Here is a 22,598-nt window from a genome sequence, read left to right as displayed (position 1 = left end):
GTGTGTATGTGTGTATAGGTGTTTAATGTTGTGACCTATTATAAAAGCAATAGTGTTCATTGTAAAAAGAATTTGAACAAAAACTGACAAAATGAAGCTTTGAAATTGCCCATTCCCCTTCCCTGCCCCCATCCCCACGGAGTTAGCATTGATGCAGTTTGGTGTGGATGCTTGCAGAGCAGATATTGCTTATTCAAAAAAGGTATATTAAGAATAATTATTTGTATATTAGACTGCTTATTAGAGTTTTGAATTAATATTTTAATGTTTATATTTTCAGTTAAAAAAGTAATATAAGATTATTACAGGAAATGCACAGAATGCAGAGACAAATAATCTTTATTTTCGAGATGGGTTCTTGCTCTGCCACTCAAGCTGAAGCACAGTGGCACGATCATACCTCACTCTAGTCTCAAACACTTGTGTTCAAGCAATCCTTCTGCCTCAATCTCCCAAGTAGCTGGGACCACAGGTACACATCACCACCACACCTGGCTAATTTTAAAATTTTTTGTAGAGAGGGGAGATCACTATGTTACCCAGGTTGGTCTCGAACTCCTGGGCTCAAGTGATCCTCCCACGTCAGCCTCCCAAAGTGCTGTGATTACGGGCGTGAGCCACCATGCCCAGCCCAGATTATTTTATTTATTTATTTATTTTAATTTATTAATTTTTTTGAGACAGGGGGTCTCCCCCTGTGGCCCAAGCTGGGGCTCAATGAATGCAATCATAGCTCACTGCAGCCTCACCTTCCTGGGCTCAGGCAATACTCGCACCTCAGCCTCCAGGTTATTTTAATCGCCTATGACACTACTGCCCAGCCCTGCAGTGGGCCAGGGAACTGTAGTATAGTGATGGGAAGACTCCTAGAGGCTGGAAACAAGCTGATATGAACAGAATCACAGCTCTCTCCCTTGGCAGCTGAGTAGCTTAAAAAAAGTTCTTAATCCCCCTGACCACCTGTAAAATGGGCTGTGAAAGTCTCCTGAAGAACCCTATGTGCTTAGCAATCTGACTGTCATACAGGCATTTAAAAGGCACAGAAAAGCTGTCAATCCTCTTCCCTCGCTAACAGTATTGTTATTTAATCAGCCCTGCCCCTCTACGCATTCTTCCTCTAAGAAGACAGCCTTCCCACAGCTCGGGGCATCCTGGGTGTTTCTCTCCCTTCTTTGCCAACCTTCCAGGGCTATTTCTCTCTCTCAGCATTTTCCTGTCTCATAAATATTTGCAAAAAGTCAGGCTGCTCTGTCTCATTGTGTTTTCACGCCTTGTTTTGCCACCTTCTTAGCAGAGTTGGTTTGACATAAATATTTATGTGAAAAAATATGTTCTCTCAGTCCCCAGCGTTCTCCGCCCTACATACGACCATGGGAAACCTTTGGGGCACTATGAATATGGTGCTTCCATGCAGCCTGGTGGTGCACAGGGGTCACCAGCTTCATCCTTTTCGTGGGGAAGGAACAGATGTTTGCTGTGCAATCCCCTGTTAAAAAGTCCCCTGGTAACAGGTCCTTGCAGATAAGCCAAAGGGCTCCAGTGCTCCAAAATGGAATCTATCAGCTTTCACTGCACTACTATCAACAGCCCCATGGGGTTCCTGGGCGAGTAACTCTGCGTTCAAACTAGCTTGGCCAAAGATAAGAAATATTTATATATCTAATTGCATATCTGCACCCTTCCTTCTTTTAATCCACTTCCAGTGCTACTTGCAGACACCTATCTGTCCCCTTCCTCTCGTGACCAGCTGTAATTTTGCCATCTCTAAGGTTATGCCAGCTCTGATCACCCCATGCCCACCTGCCCTTAAGACCACACTGTCCTCCTCCCTTTATGTCTCCCTGTCATGTTCCCATTCTTTCTGGAGTCCCTGCCCCATCTTTCCGAGATCATCCACCACTCCTCTTCTAAAAAACTGTACATCTTTGCTGTTATTGAAGGTGGACTTAGATGACAGCTTAAATCTCATGCAATCCACAACAACAAAAAACTATTAACTCCCTTTCAATATTAAGTACTTGCCTGAAATAACTAGTTAGCCAAGAACTTGGTAACATGTTTACCTTGAGCTAAACGTAAGATCCATCGAACAGTCCTCTAGGGCTCTGATTAGGGGAAGAAATCAGATACAGCCCAGTTCACCCCCAGACCTCTGAAGAAAACAGCAAATAAACTGCTGCCACATCTTTTGGGAGGTACTATAAAGAGTGACAGCTTAATTATAATTAACTTATTTGTTATTCGTGATTATTAATGATTAGCGATTGTTAATGATTATAATGATTGTTAGTAGTTATTGGATGGTTTATTAATATATCATTGCCTATAATATAAATGATCATTATTATTACTAATTAATAAACATGTACTTTAGATCAACAAGTGGAAATGTGACATAAACAATCTACTGAAAGAAAAAGACCCTGAGACTGGCTCAAAAATCAAAATCTAGTCCTTATTCCTATGTCATACTGAAATTGTATGATGAGTTATTAAAAGGAACAGTGTATTCAAAGTCAGAAAACCCAGGTTCTAAAATCAATGATAACATTTCAGCCTGTGTGACCTTGAGCAAAGCACCTCCCTTCTTCCAGCATCTGGTTTCACAGCTGCAGATCTCGCTCCCTCTTGAGAGGGAGAAGCTTAAATGAGATAAGAAATGGGCAAAAGTGGGCCAGGCGCGGTGGCTCACGCCTGTAATCCCGCACTTTGGGAGGCCGAAGTGGGCGGATCACCTGAGGTCAGAAGTTCAAGATCAGCCTAGCCAACAAGGTGAAACTCCATCTCTACTAAAAATACAAAAACATGGCCAGGCACGGTGGCTCATGCCTATAATCCCAGCACTTTGGGAGGCCGAGGTGAGTGGATCACCTGAGGTCAGGAGTTCAAGACCAGCCTGGCCAACAAGGAGAAACCCCGTCTCTACTAAAAATACAAAAAAATTAGCTGGGCATGGTGGAGGGCGCCTGTAATCCCAGCTACTCTGGAGGCTGAGGAAGGAAAATGGCTTGAACCCGTGAGGTGGAGGTTGCAGTAAGCTGAGATCACGCCATTGCATTCCAGCCTGGGCAAAAAGAGTGAAACTCTGTCTCAAAAAAAAAAAAAAAAGAAAAAAGAAAAGAAAGAAAGAAATGGGCAAAAGTGCCGTAGACTTTAGTGTACTAAGGCCTTGCTCCTCAAGGTGTGGTCACCATCGGCATCCCCTGGGAGCTTGTAAGAAATGCAGGATCTCTGGGCCTGCCCCAGACTCACTTACTCAAAATCTGTTTTTCTTCATTTTAGCACAATCCTCCAGGTGATCCACATGCACCTCACCTTTTGGGAAGCACTGTTCTAGGTGGCTATCTGACCTTCCCAGGAATTAAGAAGACAAGAATGACTGCCTGTTCTTGCTGTCTCATGCCTCTGTGCATGTTGATTTCTCTAATAAAATGTCCTGTTCTCTTCTTGCCTGGCTAATTCCTCCTTGCTCTTTAGGGCTCAGCTGAGAAAAGCTCCAGGAAGTATTCCCAGGAACACCCACACACATACCTCCCTGTCAGGTTGCCTGACCTTCCTGTGTGCCCCTCTATCACAACCTTGACCAGCTAGACTGTATTACTGGTGAATGTGTCATCTCCCAGCTCTAGATTGTGAGCTTTTTTTTTTTTTTTTTTTTAGACGAAGTCTCGCTCTGTCGCCCAGGCTGGAGTACAATTGCGTGATCTCCACTCACTGCAACCTCCGCCTCCCAGGTTCAAGCCATTCTCCTGCCTCAGCCTCCTGAGTAACTAGGATTAAAGGTACGCACCACCATGCCCAGCTAGTTTTTGTATTTTTAGTAGAGATGGGGTTTCACCATGTTGGCCAGGCTGGTCTCGAACTTCTGATCTCAGGCGATCCGCCCACCTCAGCCTCCCAAAGTGCTGGGATTACAGGTGTGAGCCATCACACCAGGCTGACTGTGAGCTTTTTAAGGGCATTTCAGTAAGCACCTATAATATGCAAAAGGCTCCCGCAGAGCCAGAATACAGAAACTGATTGTCAGTTTCCTGATGATGCTGTAACATATTACCACAAACTGAGTGGCTTAAAACAGCAGAACTTTTTTCCTCTCAGTTCTGGAGGCCAGAAGTATGAAATTGGGCTGTTGGCAGGGCCATGCCCCTTCCCAAGGCTCTAGGGAAGAACCCATCCCTTGTCTCCTCCAGCTTCTGGTGGCTCCAGGATCTCTGCCGTGTGGTCACATTTCGTCCAGTTTTCTTCTCTGCATGTCTCTCTTCTGCGTGTCTGTTCTAGAACAATTGCTAGCAGATTTAGGGCCTAGGCAGATAATCTGGAATGAACTTGAACTCCTTACCTGCAGATGCTTAACTTGGTTACATCTGCAAGACCCTTTTTACCAAATAAAGTCACAGGCACAAGTTCCAGGATTAGGGAATTTCTGGAAGGTCACCATTCGGCCCACTCTGCCATCTCACAGCAGGTATCCAAACACACGTCTGCTGTATTTATGTGTATTTATGTGTTTTCACTTTACAGATGCAGAAACTAAAGCTGAGAGTGTTGAAAAACTAATAAAATAGGCGAGGCACAGTGGCTCATGCCCATAATCCCAGCAGTTTGGGAAGCCGAGATGGGAGGATCACCAAGGTCAGGAATTTGAGACCATCCTGGCCAACATGGTGAAACCCTGTCTCCACTAAAAATATAAAAATTAGCCGGGCGTGGTGGTGGCGCAGGCCTGTAATCCCAGCTACTCGGGAGGCTGAGGTAGGAGAATTGCTTGAACCTGGGAGGTGGAGGTTGCAGTGAGCCGAGATCACTCGCCACTGCACTCCAGCCTGGGCAACAGAGTGAGACTCTGTCTCAAAAAATAAAATAAAATAACCTTTCCAGTATCACACAACTAAAATACCACTGGGACGTATTGCTGGCCCCTAGGTGTTTGTCCCTAACATATGTAAAGGCCCTAACCTATATTAATAAGTGTAATGCATTTATCACATGGTCACTAATAATGCTGTCCTACCAGTCCTAGTAGTCTTCGAGGTTGTGTTAGGCACTATTCACGTATGAAACCTCCTTTGTTCAGTAATCCTCAAGGGTAGACAATATCTTCACCATTTTTCAGAGAGAGAAACTGACACTCAGTCTAGATTAGCAATTGGAACCCAGGACTACCTGGATCCATTCACACACTTAGGAAATACTTGCTGAGCACCCACCATGCTCCAGAAATGATGGGATTCAAATGCACAGTTTTCTAGACTGGTTTCTAGGCACAGGCTCACAGAACATAGCAACTAGCTCCAAAGCCAGTGTCCTGCTCACTGTCCCATGCTGCCCAGCTCTTAACAGACATCCCTGCTGCACCTTCTCAAATCACTTTCACATCTGAAATTTCAGCTCCTTCCAGAGAGACCTTCAGCAATGTCACTCTGCCATACTATAAACCATGGTGCTCTGACAAGCTGTCTCAGAGCCAAAGACCATTAAAGACCATGTATTTATTTCCGAGGAACACTTTGGAAAGTGTCCATGAATGAGAACCTGGGGCACTGACATCTTCATGCTGTATCATATATGTCCCACTCCTAATGCCCCCATGCCAGGTAGAATCCACCGTTAATTCTCTGCCAACTTAACAAGGGTAGGTATGATGTATCCCAGGCATCAGCTTATGTGCACATTTGAGTGACAGATGGAGATGAAACAAAGTTACAGAGATCAGTAAGTAAGGAGCTATCCAAGCTTTGAGAAACTCACAGTCCACTGAAGGATTCAATCCATGGATAACACTACAGATATAATCGCAATCATAAGGCAGAATGAAGAATTAAAATCTGTCTTAGAGATCCCAGAGTCGTTCATGCAGGAAATGGTATTTGAATTTGGCCTAAAAGGATGCTTAGATTTCCACAAGCAGAGATGAAGGAGGATTATAGGTCATCAGAAGGGAAGGTATTTCTGAGGAAGAAACTCCAAGGGTTTTGTTCATAAGATAGTCAGTGTTGGAAGGAATTGTTAGTGCAGGGTTTGCAAAATGAAATGCCTGCAGGTAAGCTACTAGTCAGCTGGTATGAACCAGTATAATGGGCTTACCAGTTATTCTTGGCCAGGTTTAGTCTGACTAGGCCATCATATGTTTTTATTATTTGGTGCCTGGGGCATACGGTGTTGGGAGCAAGCCTCCCAAAATCTGGCCATAAACTGGCTCCAAAACTGGCCATAAATAAAATCTCTGCAGCACTGTAACATGTCCATAATTGCCCTAACGCCCAAGCTGGAAGGTTGTGGGTTTAAGGGAATGAGGGCAAGGAACACCTGGCCCGCCCAGGGCAGAAAACCGCTTAAAGGCATTCTTAAGCCACAAACAAAAGCATTAGTGATCTCTGTCTTAAGGGTGTGTTCCTGCTGCAATTAATTCGGCCCATCCCTTCGTTTCCCTTAAGGGATACTTTTAGTTAATTTAACATCTATAGAAACAATGATAATGACTGGTTTGCTGTTAATAAATAGTGGGTAAATCTCTGTTCGGGGCTCTCAGCTCTGAAGGCTGTGAGACCCCTGATTTCCCACTTCACACCTCTATATTTCTGTGTGTGTGTCTTTAATTCCTCTAGTGCTGATAGGTTAGGGTCTCCCTGACCAAGCTGGTCTCAGCAATATGGGTTGTTAAATATTTTGAATATCATCCCTGCTAAGGAATCAGGCAAGAAAACTGAGTGGCTAAGTATATGAAATAGGACATATATAAAATAGGCAGCCAGCAAAATGAAAAACAGGTAGATACATAAATATGATAATGGTGATGAAGAGATAGATAGATGGATGGATAAATAGATAATCATGATAGATAGATGATCGATAGATAGATAGATACATATATAGATACAAAGATACAGGGAGAGAGAGAAGGATGGATGGATGGATGGATGGATGGATGGATGGATGGAGTTAGATGTAATACTTAGCTAGTTATAAACATATATAAAGCCCCAAAGCATAATGTTAAGTGAAAACAAGCAAGATGCAGAATGAAATTTAAAATATAATAAAATTCACAAAAATTAAAACACATACAGATTATGGACACATAAATCTATATGTAAAAGTTAAGAGACTAGGAATTAAGCATAAGAAAAAAACACATAAAATTCATTACTATAATTGCCTGGTCGGGAGAGGGTGGGGTGTTGAAGGCAATAGAGAAGAGGAAATTTAAACATTATCTGTAATGTATTCATTCTTATGTTAAAGCAATAATATTTGAAGACATGTTGTTAGCAATAACCAAATGTTAACAATTATTGATTTGAGGTAGTGGGGACCTGGGTGATTGTTACCTAGTTCTTCGTATTTTTCGTCTTTTTTTTTTTTTTTTTTTTTTTGAGATGGAATCTCACTCTGCCACCCAGGCTGGAGTGCAGTGGTGCAATCTCGTCTCACTGCAAGCTCCGCCTACTGGGTTCAAGCAATTCTGCTGCCTCAGCCTCCCGAGCAGCTGGGACTACAGGCGCCCGCCACCACACCCAGCTAATTTTTTGTATTTTTAGTGGAGATGGGGTTTCACCATGTTAGCCAGGATGGTCTCGATCTCCTGACCTTGTGATCTGCCCGCCTCAGCCTCCCAAAGTGCTGGGATTACAGGTGTGAGCCACCACGCCCAGCCTTTTTCGTATTATTTTTAATTTCCTCAAAATAAAAATTATAATTTAAGAAAAAGAAAACTGGCAGTGGGGGAGCCTTCAATATTGTGAGTTTGCTAATTGTTAAGCCTCTGTGCTCTTAGATCAACAGTCATTTATTTCTAGGAATATTTTAACCATCACAGGTAACAAAATTCTCCGGAATTTTTCCAGGCACAATTCCAGGTTTACAGCATGTCCATGGTAAGCGCTTTGCTGAATGAATGAACAAATGAATAATGGAGTGACAGAAGAAGGCAGTGACCCCTGCCAGCCAGCTCAGGGCAGAAGCCTCCATTGACTGGGAATCAGGTGATAATTCCTCTTGACGATTACCAAAAACCCTTTTTGTCCCTGAGATACAGGCCTGGACCTTTTTCTAGTTTCTATTGTGTTCATCCCTTTCTCCTCCATGGGTGCCAAGAACACAGCCAGAAAAGGCAAACAAATGAGGCCAGTAATTTTCAGGACACTCTCAATTCCTTGGCTGGGTCCCTGCAGCAACTGAATATTAAGCACATTAACTCTGACCTCCCTGCCCAAATTCCTTTGTATTGGACGCAATAATGAGCCTCTCAGGCAAGACAATTTTCCCAGAACTTCAATGTCTATTTCTGTCCGATTAGTGCCAAGTCCTGAAGAAGGCTGCCAATTAATTCAGAGATGCTATACCAAAGCTGGTCCTCTCCTATTCTTGATCACGGGATATACAGATCAAGCAACAATCTCCAGGCTTGGTAGGATGGACACTCCCTGGAATACGTGATCTCTCTAACACTAACCCTGACTGGCTGAGACAGCCCTCTTACCAAAGAGACAGCAGATACTCTGTGACTGGCCCCTTGAGGGAGCCATTACCACCATCATCACTGCAACAAATGAAAACACTTTAGTTTAGGTCAGTCTAGGCCTGAAAACCAGGAAGATGTTCTCAATTTTTTTTTTTTTTTTTTTTTTTTGAGATGGAGTCTCATTCTGTTGTCCAGGCTGGAGTACAGCAGGATGATCTTGGCTCACTGCAACCTCTGCCTTCTGGGTTGAAGCGATTCTCGTGCCTCAGCCCTGCGAGTAGCTGGGATTACAGGCATGTACCACCACGCCTGGCTAATTTTTGTATTTTTAATAGAGATGGGGTTTTACCATGTTGGACAGGCTGGTTTCAAACCTCTGACGTCAAGTGATCTGCCTGCCTTGGCCTCCCAAAGTGCTGGGATTACAGGCGTGAGTCACTGCGCCTGGCCTCAAATTTTTTACTCTATTGCCTGCAAGCTGAGATGGAATTAGGGTAAAAAGAGACCCTAATTCTAAGTGACACCGGATTTAGTTTCAGGAAGAATGTCAACCCCACACATTCTTTGGCCATCACAAAGGCGAGTGGGAGCCATGAACCAGAGGGGCCTTTTAATGGCCTCTGAAAGGCAATGCCAAGCACCTCCTCCCAACAGAAACATCACTGAGAAGCATCCAAATAAGAGATGAAGCCACTCACAAACCAGAAGAACCCCTTGACTGGTCTTTAATTTGTTTTGTTAAAAAAAAAAATCACGAACTCATGCTTCTCAATGAGAGGTATTGTATAAAATTGCCTGAGTTTGTTTGCTCAGAATTGACCCCAGGGATTCCAGTTGATTCAGTAGCTGTGGCGTGGGGTCCCAGAATGCATATTTGGAAAATGTTCCTTGAGAGATTCCAAGGCATAAAACCTTGGTAAAGCTCCATAAAACCAATATACTCCAACAGTGTGGCTGGCAAATGAAAATCAAAACCTTTTTTTTCCTTCCTCCCTGCCTCCCTCTTTCCCTTCTTCTTCACTTCCCATCTTTCTTCCTTTTTTCTTGCTTTCTTCCCTCTTTCTCTTATTTTTTCCCTTCTCTCCTCCCTGCTTCAATTCAACAAATATGCATTGAATTTCTCTTATTAACTAAAACACCAAATTGCTCTCTAAACATATCAAGAACTAAAGCTTTATTTGGCATCTGACACAAGTCCTCAGGCCTTTTTCTGACGAATCATGAAACAACCTAGTCCATCTCCTTTAAAAACAAACAAAAAAAAATCCTTACCCTTTTGCTGAGTGGTATGACCACCTGGGCATAAGATAGAAAGGCCTTTGGAGTCATTTTTAGAAGACAAATGGGAAAGAGCAAAGGCCCGAAAGTCAGACAGACCTGGTTTTGAGTCTACTACCTAGCTGTGTGTCTTTAGGCAAGTTTCCTAACCTCTCTGAGCCTCAGTTTTCTCATCTGCAAATACAAGATGAAATGGGTTTCCACGAATGTCTGCCTCAACAGATGATAACTGAAGACCAGATGGCCTCTCACCTATCCAGGAACAATCATAGTCTCCTACCCTCCTTTAAACACAATTCTGCCACACATTTACAGAATCCAAATCTTTGGGGAGAGGCAATTCAATACTGCATTGAATACTTAATATTCAATACTGAATTGCTTGAGGTTACCTGGAATAGGGTAAGATTTGAATTTCATCCACCTGGTTAAATAGAAGCTCCAAAAAGAAAATTATCTTAATAATAAAAAATAAATTTCAAACTAATAGTAATGATAGTTAATGTTTACTCTGGCCTTTCTATGTGCCCACCAATATGCTAAGTGTCTTACACAGATAATCTCAGTTAATCCTCAAAACAGGGAGGTGTTTTCAGTCTGACTTTACAGATGAGAAAACCAAGGCACAGAGGACTTAAATAAATTATTCAATGATCTTCTGCAATCAGGATTTGAACTCAGGGAGTCTGCCATCTGAGATCACCTTAAGAAATAAGGGAAGCTGTTTTTTTGTTTTTGGGTTTTTTTTTTTTTTTGTAATTTGTTTAAGTTCTTTGTAGATTCTGGATACTAGCCCTTTGTCAGATGGATAGATTGCAAAAATTTTCTCCCATTCTGTAAGTTGCCTGTTCACTCTGATGATAGTTTCTTTTGCTGTGCAGAAGCTCTTTAATTTAATTAGATCCCATTTGTCAATTTTGGCTTTTGTTGCCATTGCTTTTGGTGTTTTAGTCATGAAGTCTTTACCCATGCCTATGTCCTGAATGGTATTGCCTAGGTTTTCTCTTAGGGTTTTTATGGCTTTCGGTCTTAAATTTAAGTCTTTAATCCATCTTGAGTTAATTTTTGTATAAGGTGTAAGGAAGGGGTCCAGTTTCAGTTTTCTGCATATGGCTAGCCAGTTTCACATCTCTTGTATGTCTGAGTTTACTTCTTAAGGGCTACAGTTAAATCTTAGAAGCCACGTACTAAATATTTTTTAATACCTTCAGGCCCATGAGGGGAGGATCAGTTACCACTAAGGAGCCCAAGTAACATTGGCATCTGTTCAATTTAAATGAATATCTTGTCTCTTGGACATACAAAGACTCAATTCAGTACCAGCTGTCTGAGACCAAATTCCCCAGCTTTCTCCAGGATAAATGAGGCCATGTGTCACTCTACAATCACAGACTCTCCCTTCATCACAGCTCTTTGGCTGGCTGATTGGCTCACTGACCTGTCACACCATCAGATGACTGTTTCCGAGTCTCCAGCAACCTTTGAGTCTTGCTCAAGTTCCAGCTCTCCTCTCCCTGTACTTTTTTTGGATGTTGAAATAGATGCAAGCAGTCATTGAGGCTGAAAAGGGACCATTTCTCAAACATGACTCATTTGTCCCAGAGAAACAGGGAGCACACATCACATTCTTTTCATACCAGCTCCCAAAGTTCACCTTTCCAGCATGACATTCCTCTTTTCGTCTCTTGCATGAAAAGCCCTTTTCAGCACGGAAACATCGCAGCTGCTTTTACAGCCACTGCATCTGTCCCATCTGGAGAAAAAGCCACGTTCAGACAGCCACAGACGTCTTTGTGTTCCCCCTTCCTTGGGGTTGGCTGTGGCAGGAATGGGAGGCTTGGCAGAATGACTAGTAGGCGGAAATGCTCCAGCAAATGGCTGGGCATGGAAGGACCTGAACATTCCATTGCAAATATCTCAGTTGCAGCCATGTGTGGAGGGCATTCCAGGTTATGAGAGATGCTCAACACAACCCTCTATATGTGGTGGGGAGAGCACTTTGACACAGCTTAAAAACCAAGCTATTCCTTTCTTGAAAAGTTGAATATAATCTTAATATATATTACCCAGCAATTCCACTCCTAGGTATCTACTCAAAAGAAATGAAAACATGTGTCCACAAAAGGCTCACAAGTGAGTATTCATAGCAGCATTACTCATAATATCTCAGCATTAAAAAGAGCTCCAATGTTCGCCAATGTGTGAATGGAGTGGTCTATCCATATGATGGAATATTATGCAGCAATAAAAAATGAAGAATTTATACCTGCTAAGACAGGGATGAACCTCAAAAACATGCTAAGTAAAGGAAGCCAGACATAGAAGATCACATACTGTATAATTCCATTCACATGTAATGTCCAGAAAAGACACATCTCTAGAGCTAGAAAATCAATTAGTGGTTACCTGAGGTTAGGGATGAGAACAGGCACAAGGATCTTATTGGGGTGACAAAAAATGTCCTCACACTGGATGCTCATGATAGTTGCACAAGTCAGTAAATTTTCTAAAAATCATTGAATTGTATACTTAAAATGGGTGAATTTGATGTTATGTCAATTATACCATCATAAAGTTGGGGGTTTTTAAGTCATTAAACATTCAGCTTTTATGAACAACTGAGTGATGTGTGTATTAAGTGCCTTGCAAGATTTTCACCCACCAGCCCATCCCTGAGCATGAGGAGAGATGCAAGCAGGTGGTGAGTAAGGAGAAATGAGTGAATGAGTAATAAGCCAAGTTGGGCCTACCCTTGAAGACCACAAGTGGATCTTAGCTGGGCATGGTGATGCCTGCCCGCAGTTCCAGCTACTTAGGAAGCCAAGGTGGGAGGATTGCTTGAGCCCAGGAGTTCAAGGTCACCCTGGGTAACACAGCAAACCCATCCCTACAAAAAAATAGAACAATTAGCCAAGCATGATGGCACATATCTGTAGTCTCGGCTACTCAGGAGGATGAGGTAGGAGGATCACTTGAGCCCCAGAGGTCAAGACTGATGCCTGCAACACTCAGTAATTCACACACACACAAAAAGATAATAATTTTGATTTTCAGAATCCCAAAATGCTCTGGAGTCTAGAGAGAGCCAGGTCAAAGCAGCCACCCTGAATCATCATATACCTGTCACACCCCTGGAGAAAACAATCCATTTGTCCCTTTTCACATGATGCTGCTCAGCACGCTCTGGAAGGTTTTAGCTCAGGACACTACACTTTAGGAGAAACATTGAGAAATTGACCATACCTAGGGATACTGTACTCAACTTGGGGCTCACAACACTCTCTTGTGTTACCATTGGTTGTGATGTGGGCTTTTAAAAATTCTTAAATAAATAAATGAAAAAGATCAAATCAAATTCAATATTTCCCCCAATGGTAAAAAGCAATCTTGCTCCATCCTAATCTGCTTCTAATTCATACGCTGATTTTTTTCCCTCTAGTATTACATGATAAATATTTTCCCAGAAATTAGTAAGCATGCAGTCTCATGTGTCTTGAGGTAACGGTTGGTTTTCTAATCAAAGATGCTCTCTTTGGGCCAGGCACAGTGGTTTAGGCTTGTAATCCCAGTGCTTTGGGAGTCCAAAGTGGGAGGATCACCTGACCCAGGAGTTTAAGATCAGCCTGAGAAACTTAGCAAGACCCCAAGACTCCAAAAACTTCAAAAAATTAGCCGGGCATGATGGTGCCTGCCTGCAGTCCCAGCGACTCAGGAAGCCAAGGCAGGAGGATTGCTTGAGCTTAGGAATTTGAGACCAGGCTGAGTAACATAACAAGATCCTATCTCTACAAAAAAACAAAACAATTAGCCAAGTGTGGTGGCACACACCTGCAGTCTCAGCTACTCGAAAAGGTGAGGTAGGAGGATCACTTGAGTCCTGGAGGTCAAGACTTCAGTGAGGCGTGGTCAGGACACTGCACTCCAGCTTGGGTGACAAAGCAAGACTGTCTCAAAAAAGCAGGGTGGGGCCGGAGGGGGGCTCTCTTTGGATATCCTACTTAACAACACCTTACCCTCCACTCCCTGTCCTCCTACCAAAATTTCTTATTTCTCAGCTCTGATCACCACCTAACATATTACATACTCATTGTCTTATGAGAATGTGCCCTCTACAATGTCCATAACACTCCCTTTAAAAATAAATCAAACTGACTGAGCATTATAGGACTTACTATGTGTAAGGCTTTTGCTACACCAGACTAGACCCCAATTCATATCCTCCTTTCCCATTCAAATTTATACTGACTCAAAATTAAGGACTAAGTCTGTGCCTTATACCCACTGCCACTGCCCTCATTCATCCCCATTGTTTCCAAATGGCCTACTGGCCTTCAGTTTCACCATCCACTATTCATCTTCCAATCTATTCTCATGACAGTTAAGGCTCTTGATCACCTGGCCCCAACCTACCTGATCAATCTCACCTGCCACCCCTACTGCAGCTGTCTTAGTAATGAAATTACTAAGCCTCAATGTCCTGCTTCCCCCTGAAGAGCCTTCTTCCCTGTAAATTCTGGACCTATCTTCACCTTGACTGCCTACCTAATTATTTGATCTTTGCTAGAACTAAAGTTAAGTTAACTCTGTGTGTGTGTGTGTGTGTGTGTGTGTGTGTGTGTGTGTGTGTCTGTTGTTTTTTTGTTTGTTTGTTTGTTTGTTTTTGTTTTCAGACCGAGTCTCTCTGTCGCCCAAGCTGTAGTGCAATAGTGCAATCTCGGCTCACTGCAATCTCTGCCTCCTGGGTTCAAGCGATTCTCCTGCCTCAGCCTCCCAAGTAACTGGGATTACAGGTGCCCACCACCACACCTGGCTGATTTTTTGTATTTTTTTAGTAGAGATGGGATTTCACCATGTTGGCCAGGCTGGTCTTGAACTACTGACCTCAGGTGATCTACCCACTCGGCCTCCCAAAGTGCTGGGATTATAGGCATGAGCCACCACAGCCAGCCCAACTCTGATCTTTAACAAGCTTATATTATTTTGTTCATTCCCTCACTCGGGGAATAAACGCAAAGCTCACCATTTTAAAACACCCCCTTTGTCGAATAAAAATTTAACTCATTAGTAGCAAAAACCAACTTCAGCTAGCTCAAAGCAGAGAGAGAGAGAGAGAGAGAGAGAGAGAGAGAGAGAACGTGAGAAAGAGCAAGTTTATTGATGTGACTAGAAAACTACAGGCATGAAATGAACAATATGATCAGAACTCTCTCTTTCTTTGTCCTCTTGGTTCTGTTTCCTCTGGGACGGCTTCATTCTCAGAAAAATCCTTTCCCACCTGGTGGCTACACAGCTCACTATTTACATGGTTCATTGTACTTATCATCTCAGAAGGATGTAATTTGCCACTTACTGATTTTTTTTTTCTAGCCAAAGTCCCAGAGAAGGCACAGATTGGCTCATCCAGGTCACATGTCCACCTTTGAACCAATCCCTGTGATCAGGGTAATTCAGCCTTCTGATTGGCCAGGCTGCTGAAGGTCTTCTCTCCTTGGAGCTGGAGATTAAGGTAAACCCTATCTAAACTGCCTCGGTTGAAAATATACAGGATTGAATGTCCCAAAAGAAAACAAAAATGTGTACCACATCTGGTATGCATCAAACACCAAACATGCATCATGTCACCAAATCTTCACACACACCCTGGGTAGGTATTATTATCCTATAACAAGGAAACTGAGGTTCAGAAAGCTTTAACTGAGTCACCCAAAGCCACAGAGCTAGTAAGTGGTGGAGGTGGACTCTGATGCAGGAACTTAAACTTGCACCAAATTTGCTACTGTACATCAGGCTTCATGCTGGGCCCAGAAGATACACAGATGAAAAGTATACAATCTTTGCACAAGGGAGGCAGATGTACCAGCATACAATTATAAAATATGCTATAATTCACACCAAAATTTGGAAGGTAGCAGAGCTCAATAGCCAAGCACTCAGGCTCTTGAATCATTAAAAGCTGGGTTCTAATTCCAGCTCTGCCACTTACTAGCTATGTGACCTTGAGCAAGTTATTTGATCTCTCTCAGGCTCAGTTTCCTCATCTGCAAAAATAATAATGGCATAGGGCTGCAGGGACAAAGGTAAAGAGGCAGAAGGTAGCACACTACCTATGGGAATAGAGAGACCAGGGCACATGGAGAAGTCAACCCTTGGTGAGATCCAAGAGTAAAGTGTGTCTATGATAGAAGCCAAATGATGAAGACTTCAAGTGCCAATAAATCATCTGAAAGGGCGCTCTCAACTTCAACATGCTCAATGTTCCTCAACCTAGAAGCTCTGTACCCCGGCCAGGCAGAGCCAAGTTTTTAATAAGCCCAAGAGGAGCTGAGGAACCTATAAGGATGGAGTCTGTCAGCCCCTGGCAGCTCTCCTCAGCAGATGAGCTTGATTCTCCCTGACAGCACAAGCAACTGCCATGCCCAAAATGAAACTGGCTGCTTAGAAAGTTCAGCTCCCTTTCTGTGCTCTATTTTCTTTCTCCACAGACTCATAGCCATCCTGCTGGCACGGGCCAAGACCTCCCTCCTCCGGAGTCTCCCCACAACCAGTCTAATTGGGAGGCTGCGGGAAGCCCCATGGGGACATCCTACCCATCCTCTCTCCTTCTAAGCCTCTCTATGAGAAGCATTGCAAAAATAGGAAGCAGAAGCCCAGGAGCCCGGGAAGACCAGAAGACCTGTTGTGGTAAGCAAGTGGGAGGGAGGGTGATGGCCTGAAATGTGGTCCAGACAGGACCCACTTGGGACAGCATGCAGTAGACAGTAATAGCAATGCTTACCGCATCTCCTCCAAGCTTAGACACCTTCCATCCACAGATGCACCACATATTCAGAAACACTTTCCAAAATAAAAGAAACCCAATTATTTTGCTAGCCGTATACTCCTATGGTACATTTCAAAATGTTAATAATATAAAGAATGTCTTCACAGCAAGGAAAGGCAACCATAACAGAAATTAACTTTTATTGAGCGTATAATAGTATATCAATATTAAGTTTTTAATATATTTTATTGTTTATTATTATATTTCCTTGACGTTAAACACTTCTCAAGCTTTAACCAGTTTCAATTTTTACAACAACCCTATGAAGTAGTATTTACGCCCATTTTATGGACAGGGAAACTGAGGCTCAACCAACGTAAGTAATTGACAGTGGCACAGTTAGTAAGCAATAGAGGAAGCTATTAAGCAATTAAGGTCTGTCAGAATCTAAAATCATACTTTTTTAAAAAATAAAAAGTTTTATTGATATGTAATTTGCATACCATAAAACTCACACATTGTAAGTATACAATTCTGTGATTTTTAGTAAATGTATAGAATTTCGATTATCCTCCAGTTTTAGAACATTTTCAGCACCCCCAAAACGTCCCCATGATCATTTGCTGTTAATCTTCACCTCCATCCCCACCCCAGCCCAGGCAACCACTAATCTACTTTCTTTCCCAATAGATTTGCCATTTCTGGACAATTCATAATGGAATTCTGCAACACGAGCCTATACATCTGGCTTCTTTCATTTAGCATACTGTTATTGAGGATCACCCATGTTGTAGCAGATATCAGTATTTCATTCCTTTTCTATTGCTGAATTATATTCCATTATATGGATATACCACATTTTGTTTATCCATTTACTAATTGATTGACATTTGGAGTGTTTCCACTTTGGACTATTATAAATAATGTTTGTATGAATATTCATGGATATGTCTTTGTGTGAACATATGCTTTCACTTCTCTTGGGTGGATGCCTAGGAGGGAAATCGCTGGGTCGTATAGTAAGTTTATATTTAACATTTTAAGAAACTGCCAAACTGTTTTCCAAAGCTGCTGCACCATTTTACATTCCCACCCAAGCTCATACTATTAAATACTACTATATCCTACCTTGAAGCCAAACTGGAATTCAGACATGACTGAGAATATGGAAAGCTGGTAAACCTGGCCCCCTTAGACAACCGTATGAGGGCATTAGCTGGGGATGAAGAAGAAAGCAAGAAGCTTTGATGTCACAAAAGAAAGAAATGAGGTTGGATCAAGAACCAGACACATGCATGCCTCCTGGAGCAATTTGGAGATGGAACAGATGGAGAAACTAATGGCTGTGTTTTCGTAGGACTCTAGAACAAAGCCCAAGCAGGATGGCTTTGGAGCTTGGAGAGTGGCGTATATCCCAGAATGGGGGAGAGATGACTTCTTTCCAATGCTCTGGAAATCTTTAGAGTTAGCACCTTCGTAAGCATCTGGACACAAAGCCTATGACATGGTGGCCCATGGCACCCTCAAGAGCATCTCAAGATACAAACGTTGACAATGAGGCCAACATGGAAGAAAAAACATGGTGGACACTATGAGATGAATGCAGTCAGCTGAAAGCAAGGGTGAAATAACCCCACCACAAGAATTATCAGACAGAAGAGAGGAAAGCTTTGCATGGGCAGAAGTCCTGTATATGTGAATGAAGATAAGAGCCAGAAAATGTGCACAATTCCTGTTACTGTGACTTCATCTTACTCACAGACTGAGAGGCCTAGGCAGGTTGGGTTACTGTGTTCAAGAGCTGAGCTGAGTCTCACCTGAGATTCTTGTGGCTCTGCAAACACCTGTGTCCCTGGCTTTCTTCCCATTCATTAGCCCCTGGTCTTTCCACTCACCTGCTCATGGGACATTAAGGACACTCTGTGACCTCAAATGTGCAATAATTCATCTCAGAAACATAATCATTTCCCTCTATGTATAACTAAAACTCTATAAATCAGGCTTGCTGGAGAAAGATAAATCATGAAACTCATGCCAGGAGAAGATCTTTGAGAAGGGGGCTTTCAGCTCGCCCCAGGAGATAGACAAGAATGAAACTCTGGGGTGTGAAGTTCCGGAAGAGTGTTTTCTTCAATATACAGCATGAGCTTTGGAGTCTGACACACTAAATTCAATCCCAGCTCTGCTACTGACAAGTTAAATGACTTTGGATAAGTCTTGTTATCTCTTTGCCTCAGTTTCCTCAAGTTATAAATGAATCAACTACTCTCAGGCTGTTGAGAGGACTAGAGAAAATGTGTTCAAAGAGATTGGCACAACCTTCAGTAAAAAATATAAACAAAAGTTTTTGAAAGGATAAGAAGAGTATTTCTATATGCATAGCCTATGAGGAAGTGCCGCCTCCCTCTGCCAACCCATGAACTTGTCTCCCTTCTGAATGAAAAGTCTGGAAGTTGAGTGAGCAATTTATCCTTTTAAATTAAGATGACTCTTGGCCTAGGCAGAATAATAGTTATTTTTCCCGGAACAGCGACTACATTGGGTGCCACATATTGATTGGGGATTAACAGGGACAAAACAAGTCATGGAGAGTGAATTCTCCCCAACCGTCTAGGGGAAGCAGTGAAGCATTATAGCGGCAGAGAAACAGGGATGGTGTGGGGAAGGAGAGGGGAGTCTAGAGGGAGGACAAAAGGAGGAAAATCAATTATGACATCATGGATGAAATGTTCCCAGAGTCCCAGCTGCAACCCTGACTTTGCTGTGTGATAAAGTTGCCCAAGAAGGCTACATTAGGACATCAGATGGGACAAAGGGAAAGTCTGTTCTCTCCCTTGCCTCTCAGTGTTCCAGAATAGCATCAGTGGCCACGGAGTTCACCCTTAGAGAAAGAGACCTCCTGGGCCACGCGGTGAGGACAGAAGGACCTGGAAGAGAAGAAAGTCAACCTCTGGAACCCATGGGACAGTTCAGAATTCTACCAGAATAGCAGCCCTATATCTGTTTGTAATTTCATCTGAAGGCTGCTCTATCCTGTGACCTGGATGTTGAGCTGGTGCACAGTGCTAGGTGTTTAGAAATGCAACAGGTAGCACAATCATAACTGATCATTGATCAGAGAGAACACATGGCATTCTAGTCCTAGGGTTGAGCATGTCGGTTCTCGTAGACAGGACACAACCCCAGGTGAGCCTTCCTCAGATTAGTAGCCCCAACTTCAAGGGATGCAAACTCAAAAGCCTCAGGGAGGGAGGGGACAGTCGGGGAATGTAAATAAGTAAAGTAAACTGCTGGGTGAGTAGGGAGCACACACCTGCACCTGCAAGAGGCAGCCATTCTCAGCATTACCCAATCATCCATGCAGGAATTCAGGCCTGGCATGGCCAGAGTCTCCTGATGCTTTGCATCAAGAGAAGCTCACATCTGGAATTTAGTGTGAAGTCCTTTTTCCTCCATTTTATTTATTTATTTAGTTTTAATTGATGAATAATAATTGTGCCTATCCCTTCACACCTGTTGGAATGGGTATTATCAAAAAGACAAACGATAGCAAGTATTGGCGAGGATGTGGAGAAAAGGGAACCCTTATCCACTGTTGGTAGGAATAGAAATTAGTACAGCTACTATGGAAAACAGTATGGAGGTCCCTCAAAAAATTAGAAATAAAACTACTATATGATACAGCAATCCCACTTCTGGGTATATATGCAAAGGAACAGTGTGAAATATTTTGATTTTCAAAAGCCAGCAACTAGCTTAAAACATTTTTTTAAATAAGACCATCAACCCAAACACAACATGATTGTTGGCCAGATTGGCCTGACGCCTTCAGTTTGGTTACCTGGCACTAACCAGTATTTCTCTGTTGGGTTTTCATATGTATGTTTGTTTCCAGTATATATTTCTGTATTCCAGACTTAATGAGTTATGATTGAAAAATTAAAATTGTATATATTTAGGGTATACCACTTGATGTTTTGATATATATATTCATTGTGACATAATCGATACAATAAAGCTAATTAACACATCTGTCATCTTACATAGTTACCATTTCCTTTTGTTTCTTCGTGTGAGAACACTTAACACCTACCATCTTGACAAATCTCAAGTATACAGTACAGTATTGTTAGCAATGGTCACATGGCTGTACATTAGATCTCCAGAGCTCATTCATCTTGCACAAGTGAAACCTGGTCAATATCTCCCCACTTCCCTCTCCCCACAGCCCCGGAAACATAGACACACCTGAAAGGCGTGATACTAAGAGAAATAAGCCAGGCATGGAAAGACAAACGTTGCATGAATTCCACCTAGATATGGAATCTAAAATAGCCAAACTCGGGGTGAGCACAGTGGCTCAAGCCTGTAATCCCAGCACTTCGGGAGACCGAGGTGGGCAGATCACCTGAGGTCAGGAGTTTGACCAACATGGCAAAACCCCGTCTCTACTAAAAATACAAAATTAGCCAGGCGTGGTGGCTCATGCCTGTAATCCCAGCTACTTGGGAGGCTGAGGCAGGAGAATCCCTTGAACCGGAGAGGCAGAGGTTGCAGTGAACCAAGATCACATCACTGCACTCCAGCCTGGGCAACAAGAGCGAAACCTCATCTCAATAAATAAATAAATAGCCAAACTCGTAGAAGCAGAGAGTAGTATTTCTCTGTTTTTAAGGACAGCTTATGCTATCCTTTCTCCTGGAGTGCACACTTCTGGAGGCCCCGAACAAGGAGTCAACTTCTCAATCTCTTGGACAGTCCTGAGCACATTGCCAGCCCCAGAATATGAATGAGCTGTCATTCCTGTACAAGCTATACCCACAAGGTAATAGGAGCAAAAAGGGACATTCAGACCCAAGTCCTGTGCAACCTGCTACACCAGCCCGAGGGCTATGCAGGGCACCACAGAGTCCTCCTGTGTGTGTTCTGGTGCATATCTGGGATTCACTCATTCACCTGGGCACATGATTACAAACAACAATTTTCTAATGCCAGGTCCCAATTGACCTACTCAAAAAAATAAATAAAATAAAATAAAACAAAGCCCAAATCCTTGTATTCAGTAAACTGGGTGTATGCTTGCCAAAAAGGTACTGCAAATATGTTTTGTTCTGAGTGGTGTTTAAAAAGACAAGTTGAATTACTAATCCATAGATCAATGCAGCACAATTATATGTTAAAATCTGCATCTCTGAGTTCTCTTGAGGAATCAGCTATGGTGACACTGAGCTGACATTCCTACATAACAGCCACTGGCTGGAGGTAAAGAGTGGTCTCCTGAAAGGGCCGTGTGTCCCTCACTTTGCTACAGTCCCCAGACCTCCTGCTGAGTCCCATCCAGCCTGGCTCCTGTCGGTGTCTGGATTCTTGATGCCTGCCTAAGGTGTAAAAGGAAATATTCAGGGACAAAAGGCTCAGAGGTCAACAGGGAGCCTCCTAGGCTCTCTAATCTCCTGGATTTTTCTCCAGCTCCCCTGGAGGCCCCTGGGATTTGTAAAGTATAACTCTGATCACATTACTTCTTGGGTCAACACTGGAAGTGGTTTCTAACCCACTCAGAGAAAAAGGCAGTGTACAGAATTGCCATGAGGTCTGAGACAACTGGCTGAGCCTAAAAGGAAGATTCTTATCTCCTGCTTCTGCCCCCACCAACCCCGTCCCCGCTGCCCATCGGGGTCCAGCCATGCTACACTCTTCACTGATTTTAGGAGGCACAGAGCACACTCCTGCCTCAGGGCCTTTGCAGTTGCTGGTCCCTCTGCTTGGAACACTTCCCGATATCCTCACTGCCCACTCCCTCCACCCCATCAAGTCAAGGCTGAAATGGCATCTTCTTAGTGATGTTGGCCCAGAACCACAATTCTACTCTCAGCCTGCTCAGAACTACAATTCTACCCTCTCCCCAGCATTCTTTGTCCCCCACCCTTGTTTTATTATTCTCCCTTGTGCTTGCTACCTTCTTATATATTATCTAGTTTAGTTATATTTTACTTTGCTTATTATCTGTCTTCCTGCTCCAGGAAAGTCCCATCAGAGATGTGTGTGTGTGTTGTTCATTTTTTCCCATCACTTCAATTAGGGATCAGCAACTTTTTCTGT

The 22,598-nt window shown here is 43.0% G+C and overlaps 1 protein-coding gene across 6 annotated transcripts in view, besides 1 other annotated feature; it reads right to left on the bottom strand.

Moving 5' to 3' along the window:
* The window catches only part of SHISA9 (shisa family member 9), a 661,420-nt gene that overhangs the window by 441,179 nt on the left and 197,643 nt on the right, over positions 1-22,598 (bottom strand). The gene's annotated exons all lie outside the window — the stretch shown is intronic.
* Positions 19,574-20,104: an enhancer, noted in NCBI's record as "OCT4-NANOG hESC enhancer chr16:13195592-13196122 (GRCh37/hg19 assembly coordinates)". NCBI's record gives its function as "activates a minimal SCP1, AML or CMV promoter by ChIP-STARR-seq in naive H9 embryonic stem cells {active_cell/tissue: H9 hESC(naive)}" and the evidence as "EXISTENCE:reporter gene assay evidence [ECO:0000049][PMID:30033119]".

Source organism: Homo sapiens, chromosome 16 (genome assembly GCF_000001405.40).
Source record: "Homo sapiens chromosome 16, GRCh38.p14 Primary Assembly".
Taxonomy (NCBI): Eukaryota; Metazoa; Chordata; class Mammalia; order Primates; family Hominidae; genus Homo; species Homo sapiens.
The sequence above is the reverse complement of the archived record's forward strand: the minus strand, read 5'-3'. Positions and strand labels throughout refer to the sequence as shown.